This window comes from Homo sapiens, chromosome 5 (genome assembly GCF_000001405.40).
Source record: "Homo sapiens chromosome 5, GRCh38.p14 Primary Assembly".
NCBI lineage: Eukaryota > Metazoa > Chordata > Mammalia > Primates > Hominidae > Homo > Homo sapiens.
The window spans coordinates 162,625,323-162,648,703 of NC_000005.10; the positions used below are offsets into that span (position 1 = coordinate 162,625,323).

At 38.3% G+C, this 23,381-nt stretch overlaps 1 long non-coding RNA gene across 1 annotated transcript in view; it reads right to left on the reverse strand.

Annotated features, from left to right (window-relative positions):
• LOC105377698 (uncharacterized) overlaps positions 1-23,381 on the reverse strand; it is a 37,591-nt gene that overhangs the window by 1,982 nt on the left and 12,228 nt on the right. The window lies entirely within an intron of this gene.

Genomic DNA, 23,381 nt, shown 5'->3' on the forward strand with positions numbered 1-23,381 from the left:
ATTTTATTCAACTGTCTTAATGCATATTACGTATATATAACATATGTAACAATAATAATAAAAACAGCATCATTAAAAATTTACAGGGGGATCTGGCAAGATGGCCAAATAGGAACAGCTCTGGTCTGCAGCTCCCAGCGAGACCCATGCAGAAGGTGAGTGACTTCTACATTTCCATCTGAGGTACACTGTTCATCTCATTGGGACTGGTTAGGCAGAGAGTGCAGTCCATGGAGGGCTAGCAGAAGCAGGGTGGGGCATTGCCTCACCCAGGAAGTATGAGGAGTGGGGGGCCTCCCTTTCCCAGCCAAGGGAAGCCATGAGGGACTATGCTATCCAGCCCAGATACTACATTTTTCCCAGGGTTTTTGCAATCTTCAGATCAGGAGATTCCCTTGTGTGCCTACACCATCAGGGACCTGGGTTTAAAAACTGGGCATCTGTTTGGGCAGACACCGAGCTAGCTGCAGGAGTTTTTTTTTTGTTCCCCTCACACTCCCCACCCCCAATGGCACCTGGAACTCCAGCGAGACAGAACCATTCACTCCCCAGGAAAGGGGGCTGAAGTCAGGGAGTCAAGTGGTCTCGCTCAGCAGATCCTACTCCCACTGGGCCCAGCAAGCTAAGAACCACTGGCTTGAAATTCTCACTGCCAGCACAGCAGTCTGAAGTTGACCTGCGATGATCAAGCTTGGTGGGGAGGGGGGAGGATCAGTCTACCATTACTGAGGCTTGAATAGGTGGTTTTCCCCTGACAGTGCCAAAGAGGCCTGGAAATTTGGACTGGGTGGAACTCAACACAGCATAGCAAAGTGGCTATGGCCGGACTGCCTCTCTGTCCCATCTGTTATTCCTCTTCACTGGGCAGGGCATCTCTGAGAGAAAGGCAGCAGCCCCAGTAAGAGGCTTATAGATAAATCTCCCATCTGCCTGGAACAGAGCAGCTGGGGGAAGGAGAGGCTGTGGGTGCAGCTTCAGCAGACCTAAACATTCTTGCCTGGCTGCTCTGAAGAGAGCAGCAGATCCTGACAAGGAGGGTTCTCCCAGCAGAGCACTCGAGCTCTGATAAGGGACAGGCTGCCTCCTCAAGTGGGTTTCTGACCCCCATGCTTCCTAACTGGGAGAGACCTCCCAACTGGGGTTGACAGACACCTAATACAGGATAGCTCTGGCTGGCATCAGGCTGGTGCCTCTCTAGGATAAAGTTTCCAGAAGAAGGAGCAGGCAGCAATCTTTGCTGTTCTGCAGCCTCTGCTGGTGATACCCAGGCAAATAGGGTGTGGAGTGGACCTCTAGCAAATCACAGCAGACCTGAAAATGAGAGGCCTGACTGTTAGAAGAAAAATTAACAAACAGAAAGCAATAACATCAGCATAATAAAAAGGACCCCCACATAGAAATCTCATGCAAAGGTAATCAGCGTCAAAGATCAAAGGTAGATAAATCCACAAAGATGAGGAAAAAACAGCCCCAAAATGCTAAAAATTCGAAACACCAGAATGCCTCTTCTCCTCCAAATGATCACAACTCCTCTCCAGCAAGGGCACAAAACTAGATGGAGAATGAGTTTGACGAATTGACAGAAGGAGGCTTCAGAAGGTGGGTAATAACAAACTCCTCAGAGCTAGAAGAACAGGTTCTAACCCAATACAAGGAAGCTAAGAATCTTGACAAAGGTTACAGGAACTGCTAACTAGAATAATCAGTTTAGAGAAGAACATAAATGACCTGATGGAGCTGAAAAACCCAGGACAAGAACTTCGTGAAGCATACACAAGTATCAATAGCCAAATTGATCAAGTGGAAGAAAGGATATCAGAGATTGAAGATCAACTTACTAAAATAAGGCAAGAAGACAAGATTAAACAAAAAGGAATTAAAAGGAATGAACAAAGCCTCCAAGAAATATGGTACTGTGAAAAGACCAAACCTACGATTGATTGGGGTCCCTGAAAGTGATGGGGAGAATGGAACCAACTTGGAAAACACACTTCGGGATACTATTCAGGAGAACTTACCCAACCCAGCGAGACAGGCCGACATTCCAATTCAGGAAATACAGAAACACCATTAAGATATTCCTCAAGAAGAGCAACCCCAAGACACATAATCATCAGATTACCCAAGGTTGAAATGAAGGAAAAAATGTTAATGGCAGCCAGAGAGAAATGTCAGGTTACCTACAAAGGGAATCTCATAAGACTAACAGCAGATCTCTCTGCAGAAACGCTACAAGTTAGAGGAGTGTAGGGGCCAATATTCAATATTCTTAAAGAATAAAATTTTCAACCCAGAATTTTATATGCAGCCAAACTAAGCTTCATAAGTGGAGGAAAAATAAAATCCTATACAGACTAGAAAATGCTGAGGGATTTTTTTCAGCACCAGGCCTGCCTCCTGAAGGAAGCACTAAATATGGAAAGAAAAACCCAGTACCAGCTGCTGCAAAAACACACCAAAATATGAAGACCAACAACACTGTGAAGAAATTACATCAACTTTTGTGCAAAATAACCAGCTAGAATCATAAAAACAGGATCAAATTCACACATAACAATACTAACCTTAAATGTCAATGGGCTAAGTGCCCCAATTAAAAGACACACACAGGCAAATTGGATAAAAAGTCAAGACCAATCAGTGTGCTACCTTCAGGAGACCCATCTCACGTGCAAAGACACACATAGGCTCAAAATAAAGGGATGAAGGAAAATTTACCAAGCAAATGGAAAGCAAAGAAAGCAGGGGTTGCAATCCTAGTCTCTGATAAAACCAACTTTAAACCAACAGAGGTCAAAATGGACAAAGAAGGGCACCACATAATGGTGAAGGGATCAATGCAACAAAAAGAGCTAACTATTCTAAACATATATGCACCCAATACAGGTGCACCCAGACTCATAAAGCAAGCTCTTAGAGACCTACAAAGACTCCCACACAATAACAGTGGGAGACTTTAACACTCCACTGTCAATATTAGACAATTCAACAAGACAGAAAATCAACAAGGATATTCAGGACTTGAACTCAGCTCTGGACCAAGCAGAACTAATAGACATCTACAGAACTCTCCACCACAAATCAACAGAATATACATTCTTCTCAGCACCACATAGCACTTATTCTAAAATCAACCACATAATTAGAAGTAAAACACTCCACAGCAAATGCAAAAGAATGGAAATCATAACAAACATTCAGACCACAGTGCAATCAAATTAGAACTCAGAATTAAGAAACTCACTCAAAACTGCACAATTACATAGAAACTGAACAGCCTGCTCCTGAATGACTACTGGGTAAATAACGAAATTAAGTCAGAAATAAATAAGTTCTTTGAAACCAATGAGAACAAAGAGACAACATACCAGAATCTATCAAACACAGCTAAAGCAGTGTTAAGAGGGAAATTCATAGCATTAAATGCTCACATCAGAGAGTATGAAAGGTCTAAAATAAACACCCTAACATCACAAGTAAAAAAACTGGAGAAGAAAGAACAAACAAATTCAAAAGCTAGCAGAAGACAAAAAAATAACTAAGATCAGAGCAGAACTGAAGGAGATAGAGACATGAGAAACCTTTTAAAAAGTCAATGAATCCAGGAGCTGGTTCTTTGAAAGATTAACAAAATAGACTGCTAGCCAGACTAATAAAGAAGAAAAGAGAGAACAATCAAATAGACACAATAAAAATGATAAAGGGGATATCACTCCTGATCCCACAGAAATACAAACGACAATCAGAGAATACAATAAACACCTCTATGCAAATATACTAGAAAATCTAGAATAAATGGATAAATTCCTGGACTCATACACCCTCCCAAGGCTAAATCAGGAAGAAGTCAAATCCCTGAATAGACCAATAACAAGTTCTGAAATTGAGGCAGTAATTAATAGCCTACCAACCAAAAAAGCCCAGTACCAGAAGGATTCACAGTTGAATTCTACTAGAGGTACAGAAAGGAGCTGGTATCATTCCCTCTGAAACTATTCCTAACAATAGAAAAAGAGGGACTCCCCCCTAACTCATTTTATGAGGCCAGCATCATCCTGATACCAAAACCTGTTAGAGACACACACACACACACAAAGAAAATTTCAGGCCAATATCCCTGATGAACCTCAGTGTGAAAATCCTCAATAAAATACTGGCAAACAGAATCCAGCAGCACATGAAAAAGCTTATCTACTATGTTCAAGTCGACTTCATCTCTGGGATGCAAGGCTGGTTCAACATATGCAAATCAGTAAACATAATCCATTACATAAACAGGACCAATGACAAAAATCTCATGATTATCTCAATAGATGCAGAAAAGGCCTTTGATAAAATTCAACACCGCTTTATGCTAAAAACTCTAAATAAACTAGGTATTGATGGAACATATCTCAAAATAATAAGAGCTATTTATGACAAACCCATAACCGATATCATACTGAATGCCCATCATATTGAATGCCCATTCAGTATGATATTGGCTATGGGTTTGTCATAAGGGATTGTCAAAGGGAATGGGAAGCATGCCCTTTGAAAACCGGCACAAGACAAGCATGCCCTTTCTCACTACTCCTATTCAACATAGTGTTGGAAGTTCTGGCCATAGAAACCAGGCAAGAGAAAGAAATAAGGGGTACTCAAATAGGAAGAGAGGAAGTCAACTTATCTCTACAGATAACATGATTGTATATTTAGAAAACCCCATCATCTCAGCCCAAAAACTCCTTAGTATGACAAGGAACTTTAGCAAAGTCTCAGGTTACAAAATCCGTGTGCAAAACTCACAAGAATTCTTATACACCAATAATAGACACGCAGAGGGCCAAATCGTCAGTGAACTCCCATTCACAATTACTACAAAGATAATAAAATACCTAGGAATAGAACTTACAAGGGACATGAAGGACTTCTTCAAGGAGAACCAGAATCCACTGCTCAAGGAAATAAGAGAGGACACAAACAAATGGAAAAACTTCCATGCTCATGGATAGGAAGAATCAATATCATGAAAATGGCCAAACTGCCCAAAGTAATTTACAGATTCAATGTTATTCCCATCAAGTTACCATTGACTTTCTTCACAGAATTAGAAAAAAAACTACTTTAAATGTCATATGGAACCAAAAAAGAACCCATATGTCCAAGACAATCCTAAGCAAAAAGAACAAAGCTGGAGGCATCACACTACCTGACTTCAAACTAAGGCTACAGTAACCAAAACAGCATGGTACTGATACCAAAACAGATATATAGACCAATGGAACAGAACAGAGATCCCAGAAATAACATTACACATCTAAAACCATCTGATCTTTGACAAACCTGACAAAAACAAGCAATGGGGAAATGATTCCCTGTTTAATAAATGGTGCTGGGAAAACTGGCTAGCCATATGCAGAAAACAGAAATTGGACTCCTTCCTTATACCTTAAACAAAAATTAACTCAAGATGGATTAAAGACTTAAACATAAAACCAAAACCATAAAAACCCTTGAAGAAAACCTAGGCAATACCAATCAGGACATAGGCATGGGCAAAAACTTCATGACGAAAACACCAAAAGCAATTGTAACAAAAGCCAAAATTGATAAATGGGATCTAATTAAACTAAAGAGCTTCTGCTCAGCAAAAGAAAGTGTATCATCAGAGTGAACAGGCAACCTACAAATGGGAGAAAATTTTTACAATCTATCCATCTGACAAAGGTCTAATATCCAGAATATACAAGGAACTTTAAAAAAATTACAAGAAAAAAAAACAAGCCCATCAAACAGTGGGTGAAGAATATGAACAGACACTTCTCAAAAGAAGACATTTATGCAGACAACAAACATGAAAAAAAGCTCATCATCATGGGTCATTAGAGAAATGCAAACCAAAACCACAATGAGATACCATCTCATGCCAGTTAGAATGGCGATTATTAAAAAGTCTGGAAAGAACAGATGCTGGTGAGAATGTGGAGAAATAGAAACGCTTATACACTGTTGGTGGGAGTGTAAATTAGTTCAACCATTGTGGAAGACAGCGTGGGATTCTTCAAAGATCTAGAACCAGAAATACCATTTGACCCTGCAATCCCATTACTGGGTATATACCCAAAGATTATAAATTATTCTACTATAAAGACACACACATGCACGCATATGTTTATTGCAGCACTATTTACAATAGCAAAGACTTGGAACCAACCCAAATGTCCATCAACGATAGACTGGATAAAGAAAATGTAGCACATATACTCCATGGAATACTATGCAGCCATACAAAAGAATGAGCTCATGTCCTTTGCAGGGACATGGATGAAGCTGGAAACCATCATTCTCAGCAAACTATCACAGGAACAGAAAACCAAGCACTGCATGTTGTCACTCATAAGTGGAAGCTGAACAGTGAGAACACATGGACACAGGGAGGGGAACATCACATGCCAGGGCTTGTCAGAGGTTGGAAGAAAAGGGAGGGAGAACATTAGGACAAATACCTAATGCATGTGGGGCTTAAAACCTAGATGACGGGTTGATAGGTGCAGCAAACCACCATGGCACATGTTTAGCTATGTAACAAACCTGCACTTTCAGCACAGGTATCCCATAACTTAAAGTAAAAGAAAAAAAAAAAAGAAAATTTACAATAGCATTGTAATGGCTAAATCTTTATCACCCATCATGTTAATTAACCCTCATAAAATAATTTTATGTTTCCAGTACTATTGTTTCACAAGCAAGAGAAATACAACACAGTGTGGTTTAAGATTTTTGCCTAAGATCACAGAAGCGCATAGTAGTTAGGGTTTGAACCTAGGCAGCCTGACAACTAATGACCACACTCTGAAGACCCTCATATACTTTGAAGATAGTTGTTTAATCCACTTCTTTTCTCATATAGAAAAAAGGAATTGAGGATGGAAATCTAATATTTGATGAAGACTCAGTGTGCAAGTAATCATGGAGACACTATATTGTTTTATTCTAGTGTCCTTGTAATTTTCTTTATAGAGCACCAAAACAATAAACTGCTTCTCAAATGGTCGTATTCAAGTGCTTTATAATATTAACTCATTTGGTGTGCATAACAACTCTATGAGGTAGGTTTTATTATTATGCCCATTTTCCAATTCAAGCATCTTGTGTGCAAAGAATTAAGTAATTTACCCAAGATTATTCAGCTGATGAGTGGCAAGATATTCACATACATGGTTCTTTATAGTTACAATGAATCTCATTACCAGTTCAATGAAGTGAATGGTTCCCACACTCAGAGGATACTCTTTTGTTAACACCTGTACTTTAACCAAGAAAGGCTGGGATATGACTGTCAGCGATGGGACATTTTTATTTTCTGTCCTCTAGGAGTTGATTAAATAAGTTCTTTTTCACAAAAATCATTGGGCTAATTTAAATTTCTCACAGAATGGCTAAATTATTCCTCATAGCTCTTTCTGAAACACTGGCCTTCCTAGGTTCCTAAGAACAGAAAAGCCAGTTAAGCTGTTGTATATACAAGGGCAATGATGGCAACAGACTTCACCTTGAGAGATTTAGTATCAGCTTCTCCGATCAAAAAAAAGTTTTAGGAATGATCTCAACATTAGGTATGCAACAAGATGCAAAATCCAGGCTCTTATTTTCTAAAACTCACTATTTGTATGAGCTTCATGACTTAAAGTATGACAGGAAGTTATTGGTTTTGAAATTCTGATACTAGAAATTACAAATATCCAGTAGAACTTAATAACACATATGTATTAGTCCATTTTTGCACTGCCAAAAAGAAATATCTAAGTCTGGATAATTTATAAAGAAAAGAGATTTAATTGGCTCATGGTTCCACAGGCTGTACATGAAGCATGGCTGAGGAGGCCTCAGGAGACTTACAATCATGGCAGAAGGTGAAGAGGAAGAAGGCACCTCTTCACATGGTCAGAGCAGAGGAAGAGTGAGAAAGGGGAGGTGCTACACACTTTTAAATAACCAGATCTCATGAAAACTCACTCACTATCACAGGGAGAGCAAGGAGAAGTTCTGCCCTCAGGATCCAATCACTTCCCACCAGGCCCCTCCTTCAACACTGGAGATTACAATTTGAAATGAGATTTGGGTGGGGACACAAATCCAAACCATATCATTCCGCCCGTGGCCCCTCCCAAATCTCATGTCCTTCTCACATTACAAAAGACAATCATTCCTTCTCAATAGTCCCTCAAGTCTTAACTCACTTCAGCATTAACTCAAAAGTCCACAGTCTAAAGTCTCATCTGAGACAAGGTTCATTGCTCCCACTTATGAGCCTATAAAATAAAACACAAGTTAGTTACTTCCAAGATGAAATGGGGGGAAATGCATTGGGTAAATACTCCCTTTCCAAAGGGGAGAAATCTGCCAAAAGCAGGGGTGACAGACCTTGTGCAAGTCCAAAACCCAGCAGGGCAGTCATTAAATCTTCAAGCTCCAAAATAATCTCCTTTGACTCCATGTGTCAGATCCAGGCAACACTGATCCAAGGGGTGGACTCCCAAGGCCTTGGGCAGCTCTGCTCCTATGGCTCTGCAGGGTACAGCCCCTGCAGCTGCTTTCATGGGCTTTCATGGGGTGTTGAATGCCTGAGGCTTTTCCAAAAGCATGGTACAAGCTGTCAGTGGATCTACCATTCTATTCTGGGGTCTGAAGGATGGTGGCCCTCTTCTCACAGCTCCAATAGGCAGTGCCCCAGTGGAGACTCTGTGTGGGGGCTCCAAACCCACATTTCATCTTGGCACTGCCCTAGTAGACATTCTCCATGAAGCCTCCACCCTTGCAGCAGACTTCTGCCTGGACATCCAGGCATTTCCATACATCCTCTGAAATACAGGTGCAGGCTCCCAAGCCTCAACTCTCACACTCTGCACCCCTACAGACTTAATACCATGTGAAAGCCACAAAGTCTTATGGTTTGCACCTTCTGAAGCAACAGCCTGAGCTGCCCATTGGCTCCTTTTAGCCATTGATGGAGCTGGAGCAGCTACAATGCAGGGGGCCATGTCCTGAGACTGCACAGAGCAGGAGGGCCCAGGCCCTGGCCCACAAAACCATTCTTCCCTCCTACACCTCCAGGCCTGCAATGGGAGAAGCTGCCTTGTAGATCTCTGAAATGCCTTCAAGGCATTATCCCCATTATCCTGGCTATCAACATTTGGCTCCCCTTTACTTATGCAAATTTCTGAAGCCAGCTTGAATTCCTCCCCAAAAATGGGTTTTTCTTTCCCACCATATGGCCAGGCTGCAAACTTTTCAAACTTTTATGTTCTGCTTCCCTTTTAAATATAAGTTCTAGTTCTACATATTTTTTGCTCATGAATATGAGCATAAGCTTCTAGAAGCAGCCAGGTCATATCTTGAATGTTTTGCTGCTTAGAAATTTCTTCCATCACATGGCCTAAATCATCACTCTCAAGGTCAAAGTTCATAGATTTCTAGAGCAGGGGCACAATACTTCCAACCTCTTTGCCAAGACATAACAAAAGTGATCCTTGCTTAAGTTCTCAGTAACTTTCACATCTCCATCTGAGACCTCTTCAGCCTGGACTTCATTGGCCATATCACAATAATCAGTTTGGTCACAATAATTTAAGAAGTCTCTAGGAAGTTCCAAACTTTCCATCATCTTCCTGTCTCCTTCGGAGCCCTCCACACTCTTCCAACCTCTTCCCATTACCCAATTCCAAAGCTGCTTCCACACTTTCAGGTGTCTTTATAGCTGTGTCCCACTTCTTGGTACCAATTTTCTATATTAGTCTGTTCTCGCACTGCTATAAAAAATACCTGATACTGTGTAATTTATAAAGAAAAGAGGTTTAGTTGGCACATGATTCCACAGGCTGTACTGGAAGCATGGCCTGGGAGGCCTCAGGAAACTTACACTCATGGCAGAAGGTGAAAAGGAAGGGGGCACTTCTTCACACGACCAGGGAGGAAGAGAGCAAAGGCGGAGATGCTACACACTTTAAAACAACCAGATCCCATGAGAACTCACTATCATGATAATAGCAAGGGGGAAATTTGATCCCATGATCAAATCACCTCCCACAAGGCCCCTCCTCCAACACTGGGGTTTACAATTTAACATGAGATTTGGGTGGGGACACAAATCCAAAACATGTCAACATTTATTATTTAAAACATTACCTTGTGTGTTTTAAAAATTGATATTTCTCTGAAGTATATTCTTATGACAAAATCATTTATGTCTGGAAATTATCTACGTAGTTTCAAAAGGTAAAAATAATTAAATCAGTAAGACATTAGAGATAATCTAAGTAGCAAAAGTGCTATAGAGATATGGAATATCAAAGTGGAGAAAAATTCCTAGTGAAATAAAAATTGAAAAGACATAAAAGTGTGATTTAATTGGGTCAATTGCCATGGGTTAATAAAGCTGTGGCTACTGACCACATTAAGGCAAGGAGATAAGTTTTCACAAAGTACTTCAAGGAGGCTTGTCTTTTCTTACTTGCCTGCTTGCTTGCTTTTCTCCTTTCTTTCTTTTTTTAATGTTGACAACAGAGATTAATGAGCAGCAATTCCTGCCAATTGAAACATTCATCTTTTTAGTTTATCTCCAGAAGATTAAACATAGTTCCAGAATATTAATCACTTTGTACAACCCAAAAATCTATACATTGCCTGATGAAATGTTTGATCAGCACATTTCATTTTCATGATGAACTGGGAAAAGATAAAAATAAAGTTTTTTTTACTGCAGATTATTGTAGATTGGCTTATTTAAAACAAACACATAGCCTGACATACAATCCACTGAAAACAATTTAAAAGCCAAATCATTTCCCGAGAAAAGCAATATCTTGCTGATAAAAACTGGTATGAGGCTGTAAGCCTCATGAGAGCCAGCATAGTGTTTTACTCACAGCTGCATTTCTAATACTGTTATATGGAGTAAATGTCCTCAGACCTTTTAAGTGAATGTATCTCTTCCATACAACAGCTTCCTGAAAAAGTCTGGATGCCAGAAGTTCCACATCAACTCACCTTTTCAACCCACTCTTGAAATTGCCAAGCTCAGTACTCCAGTTCCAAATGCCTGCAACTTGTTTTGCAAACTTATGCGTATAATATTTTGAATCCTGGCCCTCATAATCTATGCAACTGGGCTTTTCCTTGGGCTCCATCAATGTGCCATTGTAGGTAACAAATACTTCCACTGCCTGTCGTATCTCCTCAGAACTCATCTTAACCAGGTGAGTTCACCCAATTTTTCAACAACCAAAGAGAATGAGATTAAGAGCTCACTCTTGAGAAAACAGCCAGGTATGGTTGTGGGCAATGGTTTATGAGTTTCTGAAAAAAAGAAGCTTTTCAGAAGGAAAAAAAGAAAAGTATGTGACTACTTCTACTCTAAGTGAAAAGAAAACAGATAAATGATTCGTCCCACATAAACATCATAGGATCTCTCTGCTGATGCAGTTTTCATCTTGCACAGTACGTTATTGTACTAACGATGTCTCTTACTCTGCTCCCAACTTTCTAGTGAGGAAGCAACTATGTTTAAAATTGCTTCCCACCTGGGATGGCCATTCTCCTGCGGAAATTCCTTCATTTTGGGGGCTTGGAAAAACCTGCTCAAAATATGTAATTCTTATGCAAGTACAGTCTGTGCACTGCACACCAGGCCTATGGTTCCTCACCAAAGCCCTATTTCTATTTTCTTTTCTTCAGCCTCTGAGTTTCAAGCCAGTAATTTTCCTCTTCTGACTTCAAGGGAAAGACCAAATTCAAAAAATAAACATAAAAGTTATTTCCTTAGTATACATGCATTATGTATAATAAGATTATTATAAGCTTCTCCTTTTCAGAATATCAACCACCAGAGATAGGTATTATGAATTACATTCTACAGGCACTGCCCAATTTTCACCCTGGTACCTACACATTCATGCTCAATAGTTTCCCATTTAAAAATGTCTTGCCATAATCATGTACTGTATGTGCAGAATCATACTTCACTATTCCCAAAGGGGAATAAAAATAACTCAGTACAGCAGGCTAAGAGCACACTGTTTCATGTTTCCAACAGAATATCTCTTTGAAAAACAATCCTCGTGGATTGTAAATAATGGCATCAACCAATCACCACTTGAGAAGAAAACTAACACAGTAATTGAGATTTCTTCCTAGAGTGACCAAGAGAATGGCTCGCCTATTTTTACAAGAGTTAAAAACAAGCTGCAAGCTCCCAGTCTGTCCTCTGTCCTTATAAAGAGTCAACAACATTTTGTCGTCTATCAATATCCCATTTGGTGTATCTCAACCTGCTGGGGATTTTTGTGTCTTAGTTTATTAAAATAAATGTTGTACTTTCTTGGTGTGACCAAAAATAAACGATGGCTCATACTGTGCGTGGGTTCTTGCTCATGGCAGTCCAGACTGCTAACAGATTGCTAATATGTTAACAGCGCTATTATAAGACTCTCAAAGATGCAATTTTTAATGCCATTTGTGAAGTTGAATTCTCCACGGTAAAAGAGTATTGCATGGGAATGTCGGGATAGATGCTGAGAAGTCCATACACTTTCTACATGCAGATATGTCTGCAGATGTTTAAGAGCTCCAGATGGCTGAGCTTTTTAAGGTAACATTCTCCACGATGTGCCCATTCTGGGCACCAGAATATTGGATGAAATGGTATAATAGAATCTGTGCCTTTTGGCCAAGATCTGCATATCATAAAAGGTACTCTAAATGCAGAAGTTTCTAGAAATGATGGAGGTTATAAAAAATTAAGATTGATTGTACTCAAATAATGGAATTAGATATATTTTTGTTATTTCTTCCAAAGATACTAGTGAAAATCTTTAGCCAGACATGACTCAAGAGTGTCTCTAGTTCTAGTATAATCCATGTTTTCTATGTATTATTTACATGTGTTACTATTGTTTTTACTCTTAGGCTGTTTGTCCTACAGAGTCTTGGCACTAATATTGTAAAGTGAGATTCTGGCTTTAGCTAGGAAGAGGAAAAATATCTGAGAACAAGAAAATATATCTGACACATGGACCATGCTCTATAAATGCATTCCAGTAAAGTTTCATGGAAGGATATGTCCTAATTTTTTGAAAATTATGTGTTCTGTTTCTAAAAGTTGCTTGTTATTGCTAAGAAGAAATTCTGTAAAAGTTTATCATGGTTGCCTCCCTCAATCTTCAGATAAGTACTGTTGGTAAGACTCAGTCATTGATCTAGATTGACCAAGATAGGTGTTCACACAAACAAATGTCATCAAACAGTTAGTGGGTACTATAGCGAATACTCTATAATCATAAAATTCCTACAAGATTATAAACATTCTAATTTTACTTTTTATTATTCAACACTCTTTTTTCAAAATAAACAATATTCATTTGTTTCTAAAATTGAAGTCATAAAGGAGTCATCTGACTTTAAGCAGAGCAAAATTCAGGTGCCCACATAACATTTTATTGGTTCTCTCATTCTCTCCAGTAATTGTTTTCCATTGTGCTGACTTTAGTTGGAAGCACATTTGTTTAAAAATATTTAAACATCCTTCCAGACTTGCCATCCCATTAGATTTTCTAGTAATTTCACCTAAAATCTTAGCACTATTGTTCACTCATACTCTTTGACTATGCCTAAGTCATGTGCTTACCTCTGAATTCACAGAGCAGGTTCAGCACCAACTGAAATGTAAACATTGAATCTAAGGGAAGGCTAGCTCCCAAAAGAAGCCCAGGAAGCTGTTATTAGAAGGGAGCTGAATGCATGCTGTGCTGACCAAAACAATAGGTACCCACTAAACCTTCATCTTGCAAAGAATTACATTGGAAGCTTTGATAATGTGTCAAGTAAGTAAAACAGAAAGTCACACCCAGGCTGGCTGACCCCAAAGTCACTCTTGACAAACGTACCACACTCTCTATCAGTATCAATTAGATTAGCTCTAGTCTACAATAAAACCTAAGATTGTTTACGCTGATCCATTCTCTAGAACAGTAATTTAACAAGCGGAAGTAGATCTGTTTTCTTCACAAATTTAATCTGTGAATTTTGCTTTTATATTTTGCTTTTAAAAAAGCAAAATTCAGGTTTATATATGCATAACAAAGAGGTATATTCCACTGGGATCCTGCCCTACCATAAGGGCATAGTATAAAGAGCCTCAAATTCCCAGATGGAAAGAAATCTCAGTCAAATGCATCGTCAATATTTAGTTGTAGTTTTGAGTTTTTATATTATTTTAAGTGTAAGCAATGTATTTAAACCTGATTTCTATAAGCATAGCTCTGCAATGTGACAAAACAAAGAGCTAAGGCAGACAAAATAGAGGGTAATTAAAAGAATTTTCTTATAGTATCTCTTTTTAAAAACTGCCATTTCTCACTCTTTCTGATCAATGATAATAATTTATTTATTCTTATTTTTTATTTTTGTGGTTACATAGTAGATGTATGTATTTATGGCATACATGAAATGTTTTGATACAGGCTTGCAATATGAAATGAACACATTGTGGAAAATGGGGTATCCATCCCCTCAAGCATTTATCCTTTGAGTTACAAATAATCCAATTACACTCTTTAAGTTACTTTAAAATGCACAGTTAAGTCATTATTGACTATAGTCACCCTCCTGTGTGATCAAACAGTAGGCCTTATTCATCCTGACTATGTTTTGTACCCATTACCCATTCGTATCACCCTTCCAGCCCCCGACTACCTTCTCCAATCTGCCTACGTCTATGTTCATAAGTTCAATTGTTTTCATTTTTAGATCCCACAAATAAGTGAGAATATGAGATGGTTGTCTTTCTGTATCTGGCTTATTTCACTTAACATAATGATCTCCAGTTTCATCCATCTTGTTGCAAATGACTGGATCTCTCTTTTTTTTTATGGCCAAACAGTACCTCATTGTTTATATGCAGCACATTTTCTTTATTCATTTGTCTCCTGATGGACACATAGGTTGCTTCTGAATCACAGCTATTGCCAGCAGTGCTGCACAAACACAGGAATGCAGATATCTCTTTGATATACTGATTTCCTTTATTTTAGGTATATACCCAGCAGTGGGGTTGCTGGATCATATGGTAGCTCAATTTTTAGTTTTTTTTAGGAACCTCCAAACTCTTCTCCATAGTGGTTGTACTAATTTATTAATACATTCCCACCAACAGCATACAATGGCTTTCTTTTCTCCACATCCTCGCCAGCATTTGTCATCGCCTGTCTATTGGATCTAAGTCATTTTAACAGGACTGAGATATCTCATTATAGTTTTGATTTGCATTACTTGACAATTAGTAATGTTAAGCACCTTTTCATATACCTGTTTGTCTTTTGTCTGCCTTCTTTTCAGAAACGTCATATTCAAATTTTTTGCCTATTTTTGATTGGATCATTAGATTTTTTGCCTGTAGAGTTGTTTTAGCTCCTTACATATTCTGGTTCTTAATCTTTTGTCAGATTGGTAGCTTGCAAATATTTTGTCTCATTCTGTGGGTTGTCTCTTCACTTTGTTGATTGTATCCTTTGCTGTGCAGAAGCCTTTTGACTTGATGTAATGTCATTTGTCCATTTTTGTTTTGGTTGCCTGTGCTCACGATGTATTGCTCAAGAAATGTTTGCCCAGACCAATGTCTTAGAGATTTTCCCTAATGTGTTCTTGTAGTAGTTTCATAGTTTGAGGTCTTAGATTTAAGTCTGTAACCCATTTTTATTTAATTTTTATATATGGTGAAACATGGGGTCTAGTTTCATTCTTCTGCATATGTATATCCAGTTTTCCCAGCACCATTTATTGAAGAGACTGATTTTTCCCCAGTGGATGTTCCTGTCATCTTTGTGGAAAATGAGTTCACTATAGGTGTGGACAATCACTTTTAAAAAGGGTTTCTGAGGTTGGAGAATAGGTCAAGACTTACAGAACTAGATGTATCTGATCACATAGGACTGTAGCCTACGATCTGAGTCCTATATGGCCTGCTCTCCAGCTAACTAGCCTCTCACTATGACTTCTAATTTAAAAAAAATGCTCATTACACCACAGCTTTCTCGGAAGAGCTCATGCTGCTTTATAGAAAACATCTTCAAAAGCAAGGAAGAAAATATCCATTGTCTCACACAGTAGTCATGTTAATTATGACATTATCATTTTCAAGATGAGTAAACATAGAGGTTAAATTACTGTGGAAGGTAACGCATTTCCTGTTTGAAGGAGAGTGGCGATTTTGTTTGTAAAATTTGGAGACCTTTAAACAGACAGCATTATCTAAGCAGTCACAGATCAACAATCACTGCACCCTCTGGCTGTAGCAGGGAATGCATATACCCTCATATATCATGTGTTGTTGTTTCTCTCCTACATGAGTAATTAATTAATCTTTGTAATGATGCATAAACTGCTAGATTTTTTCAGTTTTGCATTTAGTTTTATGTAAAATATCATAAATTTATTTAAAGATGTTTCTCCTAAATCTCATGAAATGTTGGTATTTTAACCATATCATATAACTGAAACTCTATAACCTCAATTTTGTAGTAATTTAGCATATGAAAAAAATGTGGAAAATTGCATATATGTAGCTAATTCAACTAAAACGTAGTAACTTTCAAATTCTTTTTTTAACCCAAGATACAAGTCCAAGTGGCATCAACAGCAAGCCTATGTGGGAATTCCTAGATAGGTTAGTGAGAAAAGTGGACTTTTATGACTGAAGGTCCATCCAGCAAGTTATTTGATGTTACACCAACCATTTTTCTATTCTTAACTTTCATAATGACAAATGTTAAGCATCTGTTTTCTGATGCTTTAGAGTATTATAAAAATGTAATGAAGCCATTTGAACTATCTAAGTACCCTTAAGACAGCTCAATTCCTAAAGAAATTGTCAATATTGATGTGTTGACCAGAAATCCTTATTCATAGAACATAAAAAGATTTCACTCAAGATTGTATTCACTTCCAGACATGATGGCACAAGTCTGTAGTCCCAGCTCTTTCGGAGGCTGAGACAGGAGGATTGCTTGAGCCCAGAAATTCAAGGCTGCAGTGAGCTATGATATCAGGCACCACTGTACTCCAACCTGGACCACAGAGTGAGACCCTATTTCTTTAAAAATAATTATATTCCTAAAAATTTTATTTTTTTACTGAGCAAATATGTATCCCAGTATATTAATTAAAATACACTATAGTAGACAGAATAAATGAGACAAATTTTCTGCCTTCATGTGGCTTTCAAGATAATAATGTTCATTAAGCATGTATAATAATTTTAATACAGTTAAGATGTATTAATAATTTCTGTCATAAATTAAATACTATCTTCCATGGAATTTTAGAATAAAGAGTGGCTATTTTCAGGTAAGACTGTAATGTTAAGAACAAAAAGGAATGACTCTGTGGATCAGGAAACATTTGAAGAAGTCCTTCAAGAATAGTCACAATTTTTAATTCAATAGGCATTGAGTCAATATGACACAGAAATAGAAAGGCACATAGATAGTTCACACACGAATCGGAACCAAAGCACAAAGGACTGAACAGAAGACCATATAATTAAAATACACTAGAGATATCAACTTTTCCCCCAACCCCAACATTCCCTTCTTGGAGAACATACTTAATCCAGAGAAGCATGGTTTATATTATACACAACATTGGCCACACCTGGTTTAACCAGATTGGGCACAAGATCAAATCCAGGACAATCACATATTTTCTTTTAGAAATTCGTATTTGTTACAAACAAAGATTCAAGATGGTCTGTATGAGCTTTTCGATTTGGACAGCACTTTGAGTAAGGGTTGAAGCAGATAATCTGAGGGCAGATTTATTTGAATCAGAAAAAGCCAATGTGGATAGAGAGGAGAAAATTAGGTAGAAACAGAGAAAAGACCATGTGATCCCAGAAAGAGAGACAGACAGAAGGAAAACTTGCCCTGTTTCTTACCCATATAGTAATTCTAGTTGTGGTCCACCAAATCTTCTCTGTATGCTCTGCTCTTGCTATGCCTCAGTTCTCCCTATTCCTCTTCTATCAGTTTATATTGATTGCAAAAACACGAAGAAATATTTTGGATAAGCTAAGCAAAACTTGAAAAGATTGGAGATAAACTAGGTAGCTTAGTTAATGACTGAATGTCTCATTTCAGGAAAGAAACAAGAGATGAAATGAGAACAAAAGCCAAGGCAGTTTGGAGTAACTAAACTGCTGAAGATATTGACCATTCTGATTGGGTGCTGCTGCTAGAGTTACAGGGATCTATCTGATCTATCTCCTATCTCTCTAATCAAGACTCAAAGTCCTGAAAGGGTTGAAAGGGAGCCTAATTTGACTAACTAGATCATGTACTAGTCAAGAGGGTTGTTACTTGCCCTTTGGCCAGAGTAGGGCAGGGTGTTTTGGTATGCAGTCTACAATAAGGCAACATATAATAAGAGAAATATAATTTTCCAAAACAAAACAGGAAATAGGGTTGTAGAAGAGAAGTATATGCCGGTGACCAAGGAGCAATAGGCATCTGCCACCACTTCCTATCAATATATTTTAATAACTTAAGGTAGGTGAGATTTGATTTTTTGTACTGTAATGAGCCCCATATAAGATCACAGACTAAGTAATTTTAATTTTATTTGTTTGACAGTGAGGGGATAGTGACAAATTTTAACAGCTTAATGGTATCGGAGCTATGTTGTAGGAAGGCTGCGTTACATGGAACAAACAGTGGAAGCAATCAGAAAACAGGAAGAAATAGAATGAGATTCTTCATCAGGGACTGTAATAATCTCAGGGAGAGATAATGAGAGGGTCAACAGAAAGACTATAAAGGAGCAGGCGTACAGCTGTTACCATATCTCCAGGAGAAAATGAATACAGTTTTATAATTGACCAATTTAAGGGGGAATAATAGAGAGCAATGTAAGAATAAAGCCACAGTGCATGGTAAGAGGAATTGGTACACACACACACACACACACACACACACACACACACACACAAACAACACACACACTCCATTTACATCAGAGAGGCACTAAATAGAGCAAAGTCATTGGAGCCACCATTCCCAAAGTAGAAAATAGACTAGGATTTAAAGAATGTTTGACATTTTATGTCACTGACACACCCTGGGCAAACAGAGAATGCGCAGCTTCTCAGTTTGCCACAGAGAGCCATGAGGCTTGAAAGTCAGAACCAGAACCCTAGTAATAGGGAAAATGAGATTTATGCAGGAAACATTGTTTTGCTTCAGATAAAAACTTTTTGGAGATACATGCTACTTAGTAACTCAAGTATTGAAGGATGCAGCAAATCCGTAGACTTTACCTTTTGGGAACTTCAAATAGAACAGATAATGGCTATTCATCCTTACTCTTGAAGATAAAAACAATATTTCCTTTCTTTCCCTTACCCATTCTGAACAGTGTAGAGATGCTGATGAGCAAGTACCTGGTAGAAGTATGACATGTCACTCAAGATTACAGAGTGCATTATGGATGCAAGATAGACGCCAAGAGGAAATCTTTGTGTTGAAGAAAGTAGTACTTGTCCTGTGGGAAACGATGAGGGTATGGTAGGTGGATGCTTGAGAAGAAGAGATAAGTCTCTATGAAAAGGAGCTTCTACAGGATAAGAAGCAAGACAATTAAACTTTTGTACCATAAAATTAGCCAGTAAAACTGAAAGAACAATTCTACAACAAGAAAATTGCTTCACTTGATTTATACTCATATTGATAAAGAATTAGCTTGTTGCTGATCAACATGTACACTGAGAACAACTAGAAAAGCTGCCCAAAATATAAAAAAGATTTATGTTTGAAGACACTGGAGATACGTCAAGGCAGTGAAGATTTGCGGGCCAAGATCATGTAGAGAAAGAAAGCACAAAGAAAAATGAGCCCTACATCCAGTGCCACTTTTCCACTGTGGATACATAAATTCCAAAGCATCATCTGAGAATGTGATGAAAAACTTGTAGCTAAGAAGCTGAGATGATAAATACACTGTTCATCTTTCTACAAGAGATTGAAAAAACAACACAAGCTAATAAAACTGGACACAAAAACATATTCTGTATAATTTCATTTCTACATATAATGGTAACTATTTTATATAAGCCAACTTATTTAAATTAAGATGTTGAAACTAAGAACACCTTGTATCTTTGGTGAGTAGAATGAAGATAGTGATATAGAAGCCAGAGACTAGCTTTTGGTATGCTGGAAATAGTCTACTTTTGATCTATGCGGTGGGTTACAAAGGTATGATCAGGCTGTGATAATTCAAAAAGTTGAACACTTTAGATCTGTACATTTTTACATACAGGCATACCACAGATATATTGTGGGTTTGGCTCCAGACTACCATGATAAAACCAATTTGCCATAAAGCAAGTCACACAAATTTTTTGGTTTCCCAGTGCATATAAATTATGATTAGACTGTACTATAATCTATTAAGTGTACAATATCATTATGTGTAAAAATGTACCTTAATTAAACATACTTTATTACTACACATGCTAATGATTACCTGAGCCTTCAGCGAGTCACATTTTTGTGGTGGAACATCTTGCCTTGATGTTGATGGCTGCTGACTAATCAAGTGGTGGTTGCTGAATGTTGGGGTGGCTGTGGAAATGGGTTGAAATAAGACAACAGTGAAGTTTGCCACATTAATTTACTCTCCTTTCCATGAAAGTTTTCTCTGTATCATGCTGTTTGGTAGCATTTTACCCACACTTGAACATCTTTCAAAATTGAATTTACTTCTCTCAAACCCTGCTGCTGTTTTATCGACTAAGCCTATGTAGTATTCCAAATCTTTTGTTATCATTTGAACAATGTTCACAGCATCTTCACCAGGAGTATATTCTATCTCAAAAAAAAAAAAAAAAAAAAAACTTTCTTTTTTCGTTCATTCATAAGAAGCAACTGCTCATCTATTAAAGTTTTATCATGAGATTGCAGCAATTCAGTCACATCTTCAAGCTCCACTTCTAATTCTAGTCTTCTTGCTATTTTTGCCACATCTGCAGTGACTTCCTCCACTGAAATTTTGAACCCCTCATAGTCATCCAGGAAGGTTAGAATTTACTTCTGCCAAACTCTTGTTAATGTTGATATTTTCACACCCTCACATGAATCATGAATTTTCTTAATGGCATGCAGAATAGTGGATTCTTTCCAGAAGCGTTTCAATTTACTTTACCTAAATTCATAAGAGGAATCACTGTCTATGGTAGCTCTAGCCTTATGAAAAAGATTTCTTAAATAATAAGACTTCGAAGTCTAAATTACTCCTTGGTCTATAGGCTGCAGAATGGATGTTGTGCTGGGAGGCATGAAAACAATATTAATCTTCATGCACATTTCCCTCAGAGCTACCGAGTGACCAGATGCCTTGCCAAAGAGTAGTAATGTTTTGAAATAAATCTTTTTTTCTGAACAGCAGTTCTTAACAGTAGGCTTATAATGTTCACTAAACCATGCTGTAAACATAAAAGGGCTGTCATCCAGGCTTTGTCATTCCATGTATAGAGCAGAAGCAGAGTAGATTTAGCATAAAGCTTAAGGGCCCTATAACTTTTGGAATGGTAAATAGGCACTGGTTTCCACTTAAAGTAACAAGCTGCATTAGCTGCTAACAAGAAAGTCAGCCTGTGTTTTGAAGCTTTGAAGCCAGACATTGACTTCTCCTCTCTAGCTATTAAAGTCCTAAATGACATCTTTTTTTCAATATAAGACTCTTTCATCCACATTGAAAATCTGTTGTTTTGTATAGTTGAGAGGTGAAGCCAGCTGAACTTCTGGGTTAGGTGGGGACTTGGAGAACTTTTCTGTCTTACAGGAGGATTGTAAAATGCACCAATCAGCACTCTAGCTAGGATTGCAAAATGCACCAGTCACCACTCTGTGGCTAGCTAGAGGTTTGTAAAATGGACCAATCAGCACTCTGTAAAATGGACCAACCAGCACGACATGGATGGGGACAAATAAGGGAATAAAAGCTGGCCACCCCAGCCAGCAGTGGCAATGCACTCGGGTTCCCTTCCACACTGTGGAAGCTTTGTTCTTTCACTCTTCACAATAAATCTTGCTACTGCCCACTCTTTGAGTCTGTGCCATCTTTAAGAGCTGTTACACTGTGAAGTTCTGCGGCTTCATTCTTGAAGTCAGCAAGACCACAAATCCACTGGAAGGAACCAACTCCAGACATATAGTCACCTTCAGGTATCTCAGCTAGATCTTCTGGATAACTTGCTGAGGTTTCTACATTAGCACTTGTTTCTGACCATGGTATTTTTACGGGGTGGAGATGTCTTCTTTCCTTAAACTTCATGAACCAACCTCTGTTAGCTTCCAGCTTTAATTGTGCAGCTTCCTTGTCTCTCTTAGCCTTCACAGAATTGAAGAGAGATAGGGCCTTGCTCTGGATTAGGTTTTGACTTGAGGAACTGCTGTGGCCAGTTTGATCTTCCATCCAGACCACTAAAACCTTCTGAATATCAGGATTGAGGCTATTTCACTTTCTTATCATTTGTGTGTTCACTGGAGTAGCACTTTTAATTTCTGTCAAGAACTTTTCCTTGCATGCACAACTTGGTTAACTATTTGGCCCAAGAGGCCTAGCTTTTTGGTCTATTTCAGCTTCTGATGTACCTTCCTCGCTAAACTAAATAATTTCTAGATTTTTATTTGAAGTGAGAGACTTGCAACTCCTTCTTTCACTTGAACATTTAGAGCCCACTGTAGGGTTATTAACAGGACTAATTTCAATATTGTTGTGTCTCAGAGAATAGTAAGGCTTGAAGAGAGAGAGAGCGATGAGAAAACAACCAGTTGGTGAATCAGTCAGAACACACGCATTTATTGATTAAGTCCATCTTCTTATACTCATGTGGTTTGTGGTACCCTCAAAATAATTTCAATAGTCATATCAAAATCCCTGATCACAGAACACCATAATTTGTATTATAAAACTGAAAAAGTTTAAAATATTGCGAGAATTGGCTCACGCCTGTAATCCCAGTGCTTTGGAGGCCGAGGCAGACAGATCACAAAGTCAAGAGATTGAGACCATCCTGGCCAACATGATGAAACCCCGTATCTACTAAAAATACAAAAATTAACTGGACATGGTGGCGTGAGCATGTAATCCCAGATACTCGGGAGGCTGAGGCAGGAGAATCACTTGAACCCGGGAGGCGGAGGTTGCAGTGAGCCGAGATTGCGCCACTGCACTCTAGCCTGGTGACAGAGCAAGACTCTGTCTCAAAATAAACAAATAAATAAATAAATAAATTGTGAGAATTATCAAAATGTGACACAGAGGCACCAAGTGAGCAGACACTATTGGAC